This window comes from Homo sapiens, chromosome 18 (genome assembly GCF_000001405.40).
Source record: "Homo sapiens chromosome 18, GRCh38.p14 Primary Assembly".
Classification (NCBI taxonomy): domain Eukaryota; kingdom Metazoa; phylum Chordata; class Mammalia; order Primates; family Hominidae; genus Homo; species Homo sapiens.
The window spans coordinates 63,931,681-63,947,548 of NC_000018.10; the positions used below are offsets into that span (position 1 = coordinate 63,931,681).

The window sequence follows — 15,868 nt, forward strand, 5'->3', positions numbered from 1 at the left end:
CACACACAGTTTCCCTTATTATTAACATCTTACATTAGTGTGGCATATTTGTTATAATTGATGATCTAATATTGATACATCATTATTAACTAAAATCTATAGTTTACATTTGGGTCCACTCTTGATGTCGTACTGTTCTATGGATTTTGAAAATGTTCAATATCACGTAGCCACCATTACAATGGCATTCCGAATAGTTTCACTGCCCTAAAAGTGCCCTGTGCTTCACCTGTTCATCCATTCCCCCTAAATTCCTGACAGCCACTGATCTTTTTTTGTTTGTACAGTTTTGGCTTTTCTGGAATGTCACATAGTTGTAATCATACAGCACGTAGCCTTTTGAGGCTGGCTCCATTCACTATGAATTTAATGTTCCTCCATGTCTTTTCAGGGCTTCATAGATCTTTTTGTTTTATTGCTGAATAATATTTTAGGGTACAATTGTACCACAGTTTGTTATCCATTCACCTATTGAAGCACATCTTAGTTCCTTCCAATTTTTTGGCAATAATAAATAAATTTTCTATAAATACTACACTGTGTGCAAGTTTTTCTGTGGACACTGTTTTTAACACATTTGAGTAAATACCTAGGAACAAAATTGCTGCATCGTATGGTAAGACTAGGTTAACTTAGTAAGAAACTGCCCAACTGTTTTCCAAAGTGGCTGTGCCACTGTGCGTTCCCACCAGCAGTAAATGACAGTGCCTGTTGCTTCATATCGTCATCAGCATTTGGTGTTTCATATTTTAGCCATTCTAGTAGCCGTGTGTAATTTGCAATCTCCTAGTGACATATGATTGAGCATTTTTCATGTGCTGTATGTCTTCTTTGTGAGGTGTTTCTTAGATCTTTTGCCCATTTAAAAAAACTGGCTTGTTTGTTTTATTATTGTTGAGTTTTTTATTATTTGTTGAGTTTTTATTATTGTCTCATATGTTTTGCAAATATTTTCTGCTCATCTATTGCTTGTCTTTGCATTCTCTTAGTGAATGTCAATTTTTATAATACTAAAATACTTTCTCAAATATTTTCATGTAAAATATGCCTTAGTTTTTGGATTATTGGCATTTCCATAATTTACACAAGATCATATATTAAGAGTTTGATTTAATACATGTTGCTGTGATTTATAGAGGTTACCACAGTTGTGTTAGAAACAGAAACTCACATATCTGCTATTGCTGATACTTTTCAGTGGAACAGATATTTCCATAAAGGAAGGTCTGGATAACTTTATTCAGCATTTAGCAGAGAATCAGCAGTTTCACCAACTGAGAGCCAATGATGGTAGAGAATTAAGGAGTTGGTGGAATACTTCTTCAATGACCTTGTTACCTGTTTTTTTGTTTTTTTGTTTTTTTTAGACTACAAGCAAACCAGTGCAAATGATGTTTATGAAGAAAAAGCTTCACATTTTTCACATAGAAAAGCCAAAAGCAGTGGGCCTTCAACTCTACTACAAAAGCCGTGACCTCAGCCTGCTTATACTACTGCCAGAAGACATTAATGGGCTGGAACAGGTAAATAACATCAGTGTGTCTGATGTGAGGGTGTTTCCAGTGTTTACTAAGAAAAGAACTGCTTGGCCAAGGTTTCTCCCAATTGTCCTCAGGAAGAATGTTCTCCCTATTATTTAATTCCTATAGAGAAAGGTCACCAATGTACCTTGAGTTCTAGGCACTTCACCTTCACAATATTATTTAAACTTTACAACACTCTATAAAATTAATATTACTGTTCCTCAGAAAGGTTAGGCAATGTATAGACAGCTCCAGCCTGGGGTCATCACACACATAGCCACATGTACAACAGATACAAATATACCTTGTCAGTCACAGAACTGTGTGGATTGATCATAACCATCTTTCAATCAGTCTAGGTTTCCCTCTGGTAGGACCTATGTAATTTGAAATTAATATTTTAACCATTTGCATTAGTATACACACACGTACGCAGACATCAAGCTGTCTTCCAAAACTTATTTGTTGAACATTTTTATCAAGTAAGCAACCTTCAGGAGAAAAAGTCTCTATCAATACTGTCTTCAAGAATTATTTAAGCTGTTTACCAGCTAAATTTCTATTAATCTGGACACAACTTTTGTCAAACCATGCTTCTGAGCAATTTGCATGCCTAAACTGAACATGAGTCTCATGCAACGGATGGCCTGTCTTTCTTTGCACAGTGTCTAATTTTTCACATGTGTCAGACTCTTAATACTTATAAGTTTCCACGATCCTACTAGTATGTAGAAAATATTTCCAAATTATGTCATAAAATTTGTGAAACTGGAGAGGATAGTGAAAATAAAACCAGTGTGGACAAATAACCATCAGAGTCAAGCCCTTGTAAGATAAAAACCTAGAAGTGCAATTTCCTGAGCTGAAGATACTGTCATGTTATTAATGTAAGTGGTTTACAGGTATGCCATTGACAGCCAAAACTTCCGTCTAGAAGATGCATGTGCATTGAAACAAACATGTCATTTAAAAAATCAAACATACACATATATACATGTGTATTTTTGTGTATACATATATACATACATATATAGTATGTACACACATATTTATCATTTTAAAAATTTAAAATATAAAGAAGAGGGAAAGCATCCTTAAACTCACTGTAAAATAATTACTTTTGAGATTTGGAGGATTTTCTTATCTTTTCTTTCTTTTTTGACTTAGTCTATAATTATTAATCTCACGTTGTTTTGATTAGAGTATAGACGTGTTATTTTATTCCAAATTTTGTTTTCAAAGAGCTGTCTCCCATGTCGATAAACAAGATTTTTTGTGCCTTGGCTTACAACTTGAACTAGAGTATATGCTTTTGTATAGCTAACATCTAAATGTATATTTATATTTATGTATTTGAGTGTATAGCTGATGTCTTGCATACTATAGCAGAAGTACTTCCATTTTGAATTAAACTCTAATTCTCCTATATCCGGATAGCAATTAATCTGCAGAAAAAAGATTTTGAAGGTCAACATTATACAACCAAAGGATTTCCAGATGTGTGTGTGTTGTCACCCTGAGTAACGGGAGTGATCATAATTCACCTATGTAATTCCTAGGGTGCTCTCTCTACTACTGTTTTTCATTCCACTTTGGAATTACTGATTCTTTCTTTCTTGGTTCCAAATGGGCAGCTGGAAAAGGCCATCACCTATGAGAAGCTGAATGAGTGGACCAGTGCAGACATGATGGAGTTGTATGAAGTGCAGCTACACCTTCCCAAGTTCAAGCTGGAAGACAGTTATGATCTCAAGTCAACCCTGAGCAGTATGGGGATGAGTGATGCCTTCAGCCAAAGCAAAGCTGATTTCTCAGGAATGTCTTCAGCAAGAAACCTATTTTTGTCCAATGTTTTCCATAAGGCTTTTGTGGAAATAAATGAACAAGGTACTGAAGCTGCAGCTGGCAGTGGGAGTGAGATAGATATACGAATTAGAGTCCCATCCATTGAATTCAATGCAAATCACCCATTCCTCTTCTTCATCAGGCACAATAAAACCAACACCATTCTTTTTTATGGAAGATTATGCTCCCCCTAAATCCTGCATATCTCTCAACAAACAAGACCATCTTACAGTGTGAAAAATGTACCATGAGATGGAAAAGCACAATTTTCACAAAAATGAGTTTGTAGTCTAAACCTTTTTCACATTTGAATATAAGTAAATAGATCTTGAAATAATGCATTCTAATGATCCTGTCATATCTGTACAGCTGGAGAGAATGACGATTTTTATTTTTAACACGTTAACATTTTGTCTAATGTGACTTTCATTTACATTTCAGAAGTACTATGCTATTCAACTGAATGCCTTACAATTCTTGATCACTTGCAATATCCATGATACTTGTTATCATATATTTCATATACATCATTAAATGAAAAAAAATCTTTATAAAGGTGATATGATATTGATAAATACGAAGTTTCTCAAGAATATCGTTTTGATCAAAAATTTAGCCCGGCATGGTGGTGCACACCTGTGTTCCCAGCTACTCAGGAGGCTGAGGTAGGAGGATTGCTTGAGCCCAGGAGGTTGAGACTGCAGTGAGCCAAGATCACACCAGTGCACTCCAACCTGGGCAACAGAGCAAGACCCTGTCTCAAAAAAATCATTTTGGTGGCTCATAAATTATGATTGTAAAACTAAACCCCCTTTTTCTGCTATTTAAAAAATACTTATATTGACATTAGCTTAAAAAACTAGTGAAATCCAAATGAAATTTGAAGTTTAGCTAGTAGCAATCTCTCAATGTTGGTGCCCTAGTTTTGACAAATGTACCGTGGTCATGTAAGATGTTATCACTTGGGGAAACTGTACTGGAGTATATGAGAATTAGCTGTATTATCTCTGCACCTCTTCTGCCAATCTAAAATTATTCCAAAATAAAAGTTTTATTAAAAATAGTCATTATGGATGGCTGAAATACTCAATACCAACATCCCCCAGTAGCCTTAGCCCCGGCGAGCGCAATGCAGCGCGCGTTCCTCCTCCTGGGCGCCCATCCTCGGCTGCTGCCTCTTCCTTTCGGGCCCCGGGACCTGACCTTCCTTCCGGGTCCGCACAGAAGGCCTGAGCGCGTCGCCTCTAACACTGGTCCAGGGCGGGGGAACGCGGTGTGCCTCGGCTGCCACCTCCTGGTGACTAATTCTAGTGGACGTGGAGAGCGAACCACAGCCTCAACAACACCTAATTCTAATTACAGCTGGTGATCGGTGAGGTGACGGAAATAAACGGGGCGCTATGGCGGGAACTAATAGATGGTCTCCTTAGGGTGTATGAGGTGTCCCTTGACCCTTCTCTCCCCGAAGTGGACATCAAGGTGATCCTCCCCCCATGACCTCCTACCCGTGGCATCCTGCGACCCCCACCCCCGCTGCCAGCCCAGTCCTCCCAGGAGCCCTCGAGGGGAGCACGGGGTTGGCTGAGGGGATGGGGGAGCTTCCGCGGACACAGTCCAGCCCCGCAGAATGCAAGCGGCGCAGAATCCTTGAAAGAGCTTCCGAGTGAAACCCACGCCCGCCCGTGGGGCGGAGCCCTAGCAGGGGCGGGCGAGTTCCCGCAAGGCCAGCGCGGAAGGGAAGAACACGGTGTGGGGAGGCAGGGGCTCAGGAGGGCGCCATCAGCTGGTGCTCAGAGCCCGGAGGAAGGAACTCCCCCCGGAGTTGGGGGGGGTGGCCCTAGGGATGCCTCACCGGCCCCATCTCTCCACGGAGCTACGGGTAGCATCGCCCATCGCTCCTACACCCCACGCGCCCTGGCCCAGAACCGGCGCTAGGCTCGGGCAGGGATCACCTCGAGGCCGGGGCTACCCCAATTTTAGGGCCTGAAGTTACCTGTTGCTTTCAGGGACTCCGAGCCCTGTATTTCTCCGTCTGACTCAGCTCCTAGACCACACGGGAGCCTCTGCTCTTTTCCCGACATCTCCGGATTTCAGCATCTGGCTCAGCTTCCTGGTCATCGGTACCTGCACCATCATCTGTCCACACATCTGCAGCTTTCAGTTCCTCCTAGATGCCCGGCTAACCCCCAACCCACAAGATTCTACACCCGCTCGAATCTAGGCACTTTTACTGCCACTTAACTATGGCCACGCACTCTGTGATCCCATATGAACCTGGTCATCTCCCCAAACTGCTCAACTTCCTCCTCAAAAGTCCTCCTCCTTTTATTTGTTGTTTTCAGTAACTCTCTTATCTAGTTCTTTCTGTGCCTCTCTTGCCTCTCCAAGTGTCTTTTTCCGGCTCTTTTTTCCTCTATTGACCGCTTATATTTTGGCGTTCTTAGGGCTCTGGTGCTCTTCACACACCCTCTGGAAAATCACTCCATTCCCGTGACTTCAACTATATCGATTTGTTGAGGACCACTAAGTTTTTCTTTTTTTGTAGAGAAAGGGTCTCATTATGTTGCCCAGGCTGGTCTCGAACTCCTGAGCTCAAGTGACCTTCCCACCTTTGCCTCCCAAACTTCCCCTGAACTTTCCATATAACCTTAGCATGTCAAAAACGAAATTCATTTTCTCTTCCAAATTCATTCAGTTTCCTCTTTCCCCAATCTTGCTTATTGTCACTGCCATTCACTGGCTTGTCCAAGTCAGTAAGTCTGCAAATCATGCCAGCTTTCTCCTTCCTCACCCTCCTACCCAACAATCCCCAGGTCCTGTCCATCCTCCTTTTTAAACAGCTCTTCCATACATTTTTTAGTTTAGGTTTTTCATTAAATCAAAGACATTTCCCTAATTTCCTAGTATTTTACCTGCTGTTTCTGATTGTCACTATTCAGAAGGCAAAAGACATGGTAAATGCCATCTGTCCTTACCATACTATCCTTGTTCCAGCTTCCCTCTATCTGTAGACAGCATGCTCTCTCTAGTTCCTCATGGCTAGGTTTCTTGAAAGAGTAGTCGAAGAGGGCTGTCTTCACTTTTCCCTTTTATATCTCAATCCAATTCAATTTGATTTTTATCCCAACCACTCTCACTAAGGTAAGTAGTGACTAGAATACTGAGAAGTGGGCTCTCTTCAATCTTAATGTTCCTTTTCCTCTAGTAGCAGCTGCTGATACTATTCACCTCCTTCTTTTTCTTTGTCCAGCTTTTTCTGTATCTTCTCCTTTTTTACATCCTTTTTGCTATGTCCTCTTTCTGAAGCCATATCTTAAATGTTGGCATTGCTGGGCATGGTGGCTCATTTCTGTAATCACAGCGCTTTGGGAGGCAAAGGTGAGAGGGTCACTTGAGCTCAGGAGTTCGAGATCAGCCTGGGCAACATAGTGAGACCCTGTTTCTACAAAAGAGAAAAAAAAATTAGCCGGGCATGGTGGTGCATGTCTGTGATCCCAGCTACTTGGGAGGCTGAGGGAGGATCACTTAGGCCTAGGAGGCCAAAGCTGCAGTGAGCCATGATTGTGCCACTGCACTCCAGCCTGGAAGACAGAGTAAAGACCTTATCTCTAAATAAATAAATATTGGCATCATCATCTAGGCTTCTTTCATCAGACCAATGTCTTATTTATATGCAAGCTGCCTGGGCCAATTTGTGTCTCCTGAAACTTCACTTGGTGCCTCTACACCATACCTTAGTCTTTACTTCTGTCTCCAGGCATTTTTACTTGCTACTCCTTTCCCCCATGTTCTCTCTCTCTGTTAATAAGGTCATCATTTATCCAATTATGTATGTTAAAAAACTAAGTCATATAGTAATCTGCTCTTTTCCTTGCCCTCTCCCCCAAAATCAACTTGGTCATTAGCTCCTGTGATTTCTGCCTTCTAATGAGTTCTTGGCATCAGCATTGCTACTGTCTGGGCTTAGGCCCAAAATACTTGTGTTCTGGTCTCCTCCTGCATCCTAAGTATTGACATTAAAGTAAATCAGACAGAGAGAGAGAGAGAGAGAGAGAGAGAGAAATCAATAAATCATGCTATCATGCCACTTCTCTGGTTTTAATTCTATAATGGTTTTCCATTGCTCAAAGAATAAGCCCCAAATTTCTTAGAATGGCAGACAGAATCTTTCCCAGTTTAGGCTTGACCTACTGACTGGGTTTAACCTCATTCAATGTCACCATGTGCCACTCCCCAGTATACACCTTCTATTCCACCCTCAAAATATACCCATTCTTCACCTGCTACAAACCTTTTCACAACCACATTTTAGAAATATGTCCCCTCTGCCTAACATATTCTTTCTCCACTCTCCATCTGTAAAGTCACTCATCCTATAAGACTCAGCTCAACTGATGCTACTGTGGATTCATCCCGAGTCCCCAGAGCTACTGTTTCCATCATTCTCTTCTCATACTGCTGTGTACCTGCTCCATTAAAGCCGCTGTCCACTCTATTGTAAATACAACCTGTCTTTCCCATTCATCTGAGATACAGAGAAAAAGAAGGTACATATTTTATTTAGTTTTGTTTCTTAACTTCCTTATGGCCTGTTGCAGTGCTCAGTACAATAAAAGTCTAATAAATGAAGTTATGGACAACTAGTAAATGGTTTGTTTATATTGTTTCCCAAATCTGTTATTTAGTGAAGAAGGGATTTCAAGGGATGAAAAGATTTGATGTGGGAAGGATTTAGAAAATATCTAAGCATCTAAATGTAAAAGATGGTCTGTGGTTTAAAAAATACAATCACTTTTTCTCTTTTTAAAACAGTACAATAGAAATCTAGAGTGGAGCAGGAGAGCATGGCCTCATTGCATCGCTGAGTCCTTTTCCCTCAAAAATGAATTATTTTGATTCTTAACTGTGGGAACAAGAGAGGTAAATTTATTCAGAATTTTTCCATGAAATTCCAGTAAGGGGGAGAAAAAAGCAATTTGCATTTATATTGATGGACTGTGAATTTTCTTCAATTCCAGATCTATTATTTCAGTTCAGGGAATGGAAGCCACTAGAGATAAGGAATCTTCTTCACCACTTGGTTGTTACCAGTCTGTAAGCTGAGGCGCGGGTTGCTGAGTGCCGGAAAAATATGTTCCAGCCTCAGTGCTTGACCCTCCACTAAGATATTTGAAGATATGGCCGGGCGTGGTGGCTCACGCCTGTAATCCTAGCACTTTGGGAGGCGGAGGCCGGTGGATCATAAGGTCAAGAGACTGGGACTATCCTGGCCAACATGGTGAAATCCTGTCTCTACTAAAAATACAAAACTTAGGAGAGATCAGGTTCCAAGATGGTCCAATAGGAACAGCTCCAGTCTACAGCTCCTAGTGTGAGCAACGCAGAAGATGGGTGATTTCTGCATTTTCAACTGAGGTTCCGGGTTTATCTCACTGAGGCTTGTTGGACAGTGGGTGCAGGACAGTTGGTGCAGCCCACTGAGTGTAAGCTGAAGCAGGGTGGGGCATCACCTCACCCGGGAAGCGCAATTGGTCAGGGAATTCCCTTTCCTAGCGAAGGGAAGCCGTGACAGACGGCACCTGGAAAATCGGGTCACTCCCATCCTAATACTGCACTTTTCCAATGGTCTTAGCAAATGGCACACTAGGAGATTATATCCCGCGACTGGCTGGGAGGGTCCCACGCCCACGGAGGCTCGCTCGCTGCTAGCACAGCAGTCTGAAATCGAACTGCAAGGTGGTAGCGAGGCTGGGGGAGGGGTGCCCGCCATTGCTGAGGCTTGAGTAGGTAAACAAAGCCACCAGGAGGCTCAAACTGGGAAGAGCCCACCACAGCTCAAGGAGCCCTGACTGTCTCTGTAGACTCCACCTCTAGGGGCAGGGCATAGATGACCAAAGGCAGCAGAAACTTCTGCAGACTTAAACATCCCTGTCTGACAGCTTTGAAGAGAGTAGTGGTTCTCCCAACACGGAGTTTGAGATCTGAGAACGGACAGACTGCCTCCTCAAGTGGATTCCTGACCCCCAAATAGCCTAACTGGGAGGCACCTCCCAGTAGAGGCCAACTGACACCTCATACGGCCTGGTGCCCGTCTGAGATAAAGCTTTCAGAGGCAAGATCAGGCAGCAGCATTTGCCATTCTGCAATATTTGCTGTTTGGCAGCCTCTGCTGGTGGTACCCAGGCAAACAGGGTCTGGAGTGGACCTCCAGCAAACTCCAACAGACCTGCAGCTGAGGGTCTTCACTGTTAGAAGGAAAACTAACAAAGAGAAAGGACATCTATACCAAAACCCCACCTGCACGTCACCATCATCAAAGACCAAAGGTAGCTAAAACCACAAAGATAGGGAGAAACCAGAGCAGAAAAGCTGAAAATTCTAAAAATTAGAGTGCCTCTCCTCCTCCAAAGGAATGCAGCTCCTCGCCAGCAAGGGAACAAAGCTGGACGGAGAATGACTTTGATAAGTTGAGAGAAGAAGGCTTCAGATGATCGGTAATAACAAACTTCTCCGAGCTAAAGGAGGATGTTCAAACCCATCGCAAAGAAGCTAAAAACCTTGAAAAAAGATTAGACGAATGGCTAACTAGAATAAACAGCGTAGAGAAAACCTTAAATGACCTAATGGAGCTGAAAATCATGGCACGAGAACTACATGACACATGCACATGAGACATGCTGATTTGATCAACTGGAAGAAAGGGTATAAGTGATTGAAGATCGAATGAATGAAATGAAGCGAAAAGAGAAGTTTAGAGAAAAAAACAGTAAGAAAAAACAAACAAAGCCTCCAAGAAATATAGGACTATGTGAAAAGACCAAATCTACATCTGATTGGTGTACCTGAAAGTGACAGGGAAAATGGAACCAAGTTGGAAAACACTCTGCAGGATATTATCCAGGAGAACTTCCCCAACCTAGTAAGGCAGGCCAACAATCAAATTCAGGAAATACAGAGAATGCCACAAATATACTCCTCGAGAAGAGCAACTCCAAGACACATAATTGTCAGATTCACCAAAGTAGAAATGAAGGAAAACATGTTAAGGGCAGCCAGAGAGAAAGGTTGGGTTACCCACAAAGGGAAGCCCATCAGACTAACAGTGGATCTCTTGGCAGAAACTCTACAAGCCAGAAGAGAGTAGGGGCCAATAGTCAACATTCTTAAAGAAAATAATTTTCAACCCAGAATTTCATATCCAGCCAAACTAAGCTTCATAAGTGCAGGAGAAATAAAATCCTTTACAGACAAGCAAATGCTGAGCGATTTTGTCACCACCAGGCCTGCCTTACAAGAGCTCCTGAAGGAAGCACTAAACATGGAAAGGAACAACCAGTACCAGCCACTGCAAAAACATGCCAAATTGTAAAGACCATCGATGCTAGGAAGGAACTGCATCAACTAACGAGCAAAATAACCAGCTAATATTATAATGACAGGATCAAATTAACACATAACAGTATTAACCTTAAATGTAAATGGGCTAAATGCTCCAATTAAAAGACACAGACTAGCAAATTGTATAAAGAGTGAAGACCCATCAGTGTGCTATATTCAGAAGAGCCATCTCATGTGCAGAGACACACATAGGCTCAAAATAAAGGGATGGAGGAAGATCTACCAAGCAAATGCAAAACAACAAAAAAAGAAGGGGTTGCAATCCTAGTCTCTGATAAAAGAGACTTTATACCAACAAAGATCAGAAGAGACAAAGAAGGCCATTACATAATGGTAAAGGGATCAATTCAACAAGAGGAGCTACCTATCCTAAATATATATGCACCCAATACAGGAGCAACCAGATTCATAAAGCAAGTCCTTAGAGACCTACAAAGAGACTTAGACTCCCACACAATAATAATGAGAGATTTAACACCCCACTGTCAATATTAGACAGATCAACGAGACAGAAAGTTAACAAGGATATCCAGGAATTGAACTCAGCTCTGCACCAAGCAGACCTAATACACATCTACAGAACTCTCCACCCCAAATCAACAGAATATACATTCTTCTCAGCACCACATCACAATTATTCCAAAATTGACCACATAGTTGGAAATAAAGCACTCCTCAGCAAATGTAAAAGAACGGAAATTATAACAAACTGTCTCTCAGACCACAGTGCAATCAAACTAGAACTCAGGATTAAGAAACTCACTCAAAACTGCTCAACTACATGGAAACAGAACAACCTGCTCCTGAATGACATCTGGGTGCATAATGAAATGAAAGCAGAAATAAATAGGTTCTTTCAAACCAATGAGAGCAAAGACACAACATACCAGAATCTCTGGCACACATTTAAAGCAGTGTGTAGAGGGAAATTTATAGCACTAAATGCCCACAAGAGAAAGCAGGAAAGATCTAAAATTGACACCCTAAAATCACAATTAAAAGAACTAGAGAAGCAAGAGCAAACACATTCAAAAGCTAGCAGAAGGCAAGAAATAACTAAGATCAGAGCAGAACTGAAGGAAATAGAGACACAAAAAACCCTTCAAAAAATAAATGAATCCAGGAGCTGGTTTTTTGAAAAGATCAACAAAACTGATAGTCCACTAGCAAGACAAATAAAGAAGAAAAGAGAGAAGAATCAAATAGATGCAATAAAAAATGATAGAGGGGATATCACCGCTGATCCCACAGAAATACAAACCACCATAAGAGAATATTATAAACACCTCTACGCAAATAAACTAGAAAATCTAGAAGAAATGGATACATTCCTGGACACATACACCCTCCCAAGACTAAACCAGGAAGAAGACGAATCCCTGAATAGACCAATAACAGGCTCTGAAATTGAGGCTATAATTAACAGCCTACCAACCAAAAAAAGTCCAGGAATGTTTATATGGACTTCAGAGGAGAGAATAAGTTGGCATTGATCAGGAGAACTGTAAGGAAATTAATTGTTTAGGAGAGAAATGAGATGTGATGAAGGTGAGAAAGAGCGGATTGAAGCAGCATGAAGGTGATAGAAATGGCAGAGCTGTTGATCATTTAGTGAAGAGAACTGGGAAGGGATGCACCCAGGTTTCTGAGAGATGTCCAGTTGTACACAGGTAACGTCTACAGCTCAAGAGCCAGGTTAGCGATATGGATGAAATAAGTAAAATTTGAAACTTGAACCTATGGATACAGTTAAGGTCATATGATAAGATCATGACAAGATCATATTATAATGAAAAGTAGAGGGCCTAGAATCGGAGGAAAGGAATCTGGATACCAAGCAAAGGAGTTGAGCAAGAAAGGAAGGGGGCTCTGGACATCCTTGGAAGGCCGAAGACGAAAGGGCTAAAAGTCGCCAACAAACAAAATGAGATAAGACCTGGGGCATATCTTTTGGCCATGGCAGTTAAAAAAGGAGTGGTGACCTTATCAGGAGGAATTTCAGAGAATGTTGGGGTGGACTTCTAACTGCAGTGGGGTCAGGAGAGAATCAAACGTGAAAAAAAGACAACACTCTGTGTATACACTTTTTATAAAGAAGCTTGATGGAGAATGGAAAAATGAAAAGGCAGAGTTTTATTTCCAAGGTATAAAAAATGAAGACTCCCAATAAACTAGGTATTGATGGAATGTATCTCAAAATAATAAGAGCTATTTATGACAAACCCACAGCCAATATCATACTGAATGGGCAAAAGCTGGATGCATTCCCTTTGAAAACCGGCACAAGATAAAGACGCCCTCTCTCACCACTCCTATTCAACATATTATTGGAAGTTCTGGCCAGGGCAATCAGGCAAGAGAAAGAAATAAAGCATATTCAAATAGGATGAGAGGAAGTCAAATTGTCCCTGTTTGCAGATGACATGATTGTATATTTAGAAAACCCCATTGTCTCAGCCCCAAATCTCCTTAAGCTGATAAGCAACTTCAGCAAAGTCTCAGGATACAAAATCAATGTGCAAAAATCACAAGCATTCCTATACACCAATAATAGACAAACAGGGAGCCAAATCATGAGTGAACTCCCATTCACAATTGCTATAAAGAGAATAAAATACCTAGGAATACAACTTACAAGGAATGTGAAGGACCTCTTCAAGGAGAACTACAAACCACTGCTCAAGGAAATAAGAGAGGACACAAACAAATGGAAAAACATTCCATGCTTATGGATAGGAAGAATCAATATGGTGAAAGTGGCCATTCTGCCCAGAGTAATTTATAGATTCAATGCTACCCCTATCAAGCTACCAGCGACTTTCTTCACATAATTAGAAAAAAAAAACTACTTTAAATTTCATATGGAACCAAAAAAGACCCCACATAGCCAAGAGAATCCTAAGCAAAAAGAACAAAGCTGGAGGCATTACGCTACCTGACTCAAACTATACTACAAGACTACAGTAACCAAAACAGCATGGTACTGGTGCCAAAACAGGTATATAGACCAATGGAACAGAACAGAAGCCTCAGAAATAACACCACACATCTATAACCATCTGATTTTTGACAAACCCGACAAAAACAAGCAATGGGGGAAGGATTCCCTATTTAATAAATGGTGTTGGGAAAACTGGCTAGCCATATGCAGAAAACCGCAACTGGACCCCTTCCTTACATCTTATACAAAAATTAACTCAAGATGTAATAAAGTATTAAATGTAAGACCTAAAACCATGAAAATCCTAGAAGAAAACCTAGGCAATACCATTCAGGACATAGGCATGGGCAAAGACGTCATGAATAAAACACCAAAAGCAATGGCAACAAAAGCCAAAATTGACAAATGGGATCCAGCTTCAGCACAGCAAAAGAAACTATCATCAGAATGAACAGGCAACCTACAGAATGGGAGAAAAATTTTGGCAATCTATCCATCTGACAAAGGGCTAATATCCAGACTGTAAGAAGAACTTAAACAAATTTACAAGAAAAAAACAAACAACACCATAAAAAAAGTGGGCGAAGGATATGAACAGACACTTCTTAAAAGAAGACATTTATGCGGCCGACAAACATATGAAAAAAGCTCATCATCGCTGGTCATTAGAGAAATGCAAATCAAAACCACAATGAGATACCATCTCACGCCAGTTGGAATGACGATCATTAAAAAGTCAGGAAACAACAGGTGCTAGAGAGGATGTGGAGAAATAGGAATACTTTTACACTGTTGGTGGGAGTGTAAATTAGTTCAACCATTGTGGAAGACGGTGTGGTAATTTCTCAAGGATCTGGAACCAGAAATACCATATGATCCAGCAATCCCATTACTGGGTATATACCCAAAGGATTATAAATCATTCTACTATAAAGACACAAGCACACGTATGATTATTGTGGCACTGTTCACAATAGCAAAGACTTGGAACCAACTCAAATGCCCATCAATGATAGACTGGATAAAGAAAATGTGGCACATATACACCATGGAATACTATGCAGTTCATGTCCTTTGCAGGGACATGGATGAAGCTGGAAACCATCTTTCTCGGGAAACTAACACAAGAACAGAAAACCAAACACCGCATGTTCTCACTCATAAGTGGGAGTTGAACAATGAGAACACATGGACACAGGGAGGGGAACATCACACACTGGGGCCTGTCATGGGGGTGGGGTCTAGGGGAGGGTAGCATTAGGAGAAATACCTAATGTAGATGGCAGATTGATGGGTACAGTAAACCACCATGGCATGTGTATACCTACGTAACAAACCTGCACGTTCTGCACATGTACCACAGAACTTAAAGTATAATAATTAACAGTAATAAAAAATTAATTAATGAAAAATAAAATATATAATCTGATACATTTGGATATATGTATATATACACGTACACACCTGTAAAAACAAACTAGATAGTGAACATATCCATCACACCAAAGTATCCCCTTCTCCTTTATACTGCCTCTCACCCACCTCTCTCTGCCCTCTCCTCAGTTCCATGTTCCATGCAACTATTGATCTACCGTATGTCACTATAGATCAGTTTGCATTTTCTTGAAATTTATGTAAGTAAAATCATATACAAAAGTAAAGAAAGTGTGTTTTTAAAAATATATAAGATATTGAGTATAATTATGAGATAAGACTTCAAAAAAGTGAAGAGGTTAAAGATGAAGGAGTGAAGGTAAATATTTGCTTAACTAATGTAGTGAGTTAAGTAATGGATTCAATCACAGATGATTTAATCCACTAGTTTACATATTTTACTCACCCAAGGTTAGAGTTTACTATTTAGACACTTAACATTTCTTGGCTTACTGGACAATGTGAGTCACCTCTCCAGAAAAATTCATGGCATTGAATGGATACGTTAAAAAAGTAGAAACTTTGTTTTAAAAACTCTAAAATCAATCACCACAGCTTCTACTTTAGAATATCAGAAAAAGAAGAGTAAATTAAACCCAACTAAGCAAAACAAAATAAATAATAAAAATGGGGGCAGAAATGAATGAAATCCAGAGAGAAAATCAATGAAAACAAAAGCTAGTTCTTTTAAAAGACCAATGAATTGATGAGACTGTACCCAGGCTAA

The 15,868-nt window shown here is 40.6% G+C and overlaps 1 protein-coding gene across 4 annotated transcripts in view, besides 1 other annotated feature; it reads left to right on the forward strand.

Moving 5' to 3' along the window:
* Positions 1 to 4,431, forward strand: part of SERPINB10 (serpin family B member 10) — a 28,154-nt gene extending 23,723 nt beyond the window's left edge. For all 4 annotated transcript variants that reach the window (XM_011526027.2, NM_005024.3, XM_017025793.2 and 1 more), the window contains 2 exons: positions 1,368 to 1,523; positions 3,158 to 4,431. In XM_011526027.2, the coding sequence (XP_011524329.1) occupies positions 1,368 to 1,523; positions 3,158 to 3,562 (561 nt within the window). In that variant the 3' untranslated portion in view covers positions 3,563 to 4,431. The remainder of the gene's footprint in view (positions 1 to 1,367; positions 1,524 to 3,157) is intronic.
* Positions 8,516 to 9,016: an enhancer, noted in NCBI's record as "H3K27ac-H3K4me1 hESC enhancer chr18:61607430-61607930 (GRCh37/hg19 assembly coordinates)". NCBI's record gives its function as "activates a minimal SCP1, AML or CMV promoter by ChIP-STARR-seq in naive H9 embryonic stem cells {active_cell/tissue: H9 hESC(naive)}" and the evidence as "EXISTENCE:reporter gene assay evidence [ECO:0000049][PMID:30033119]".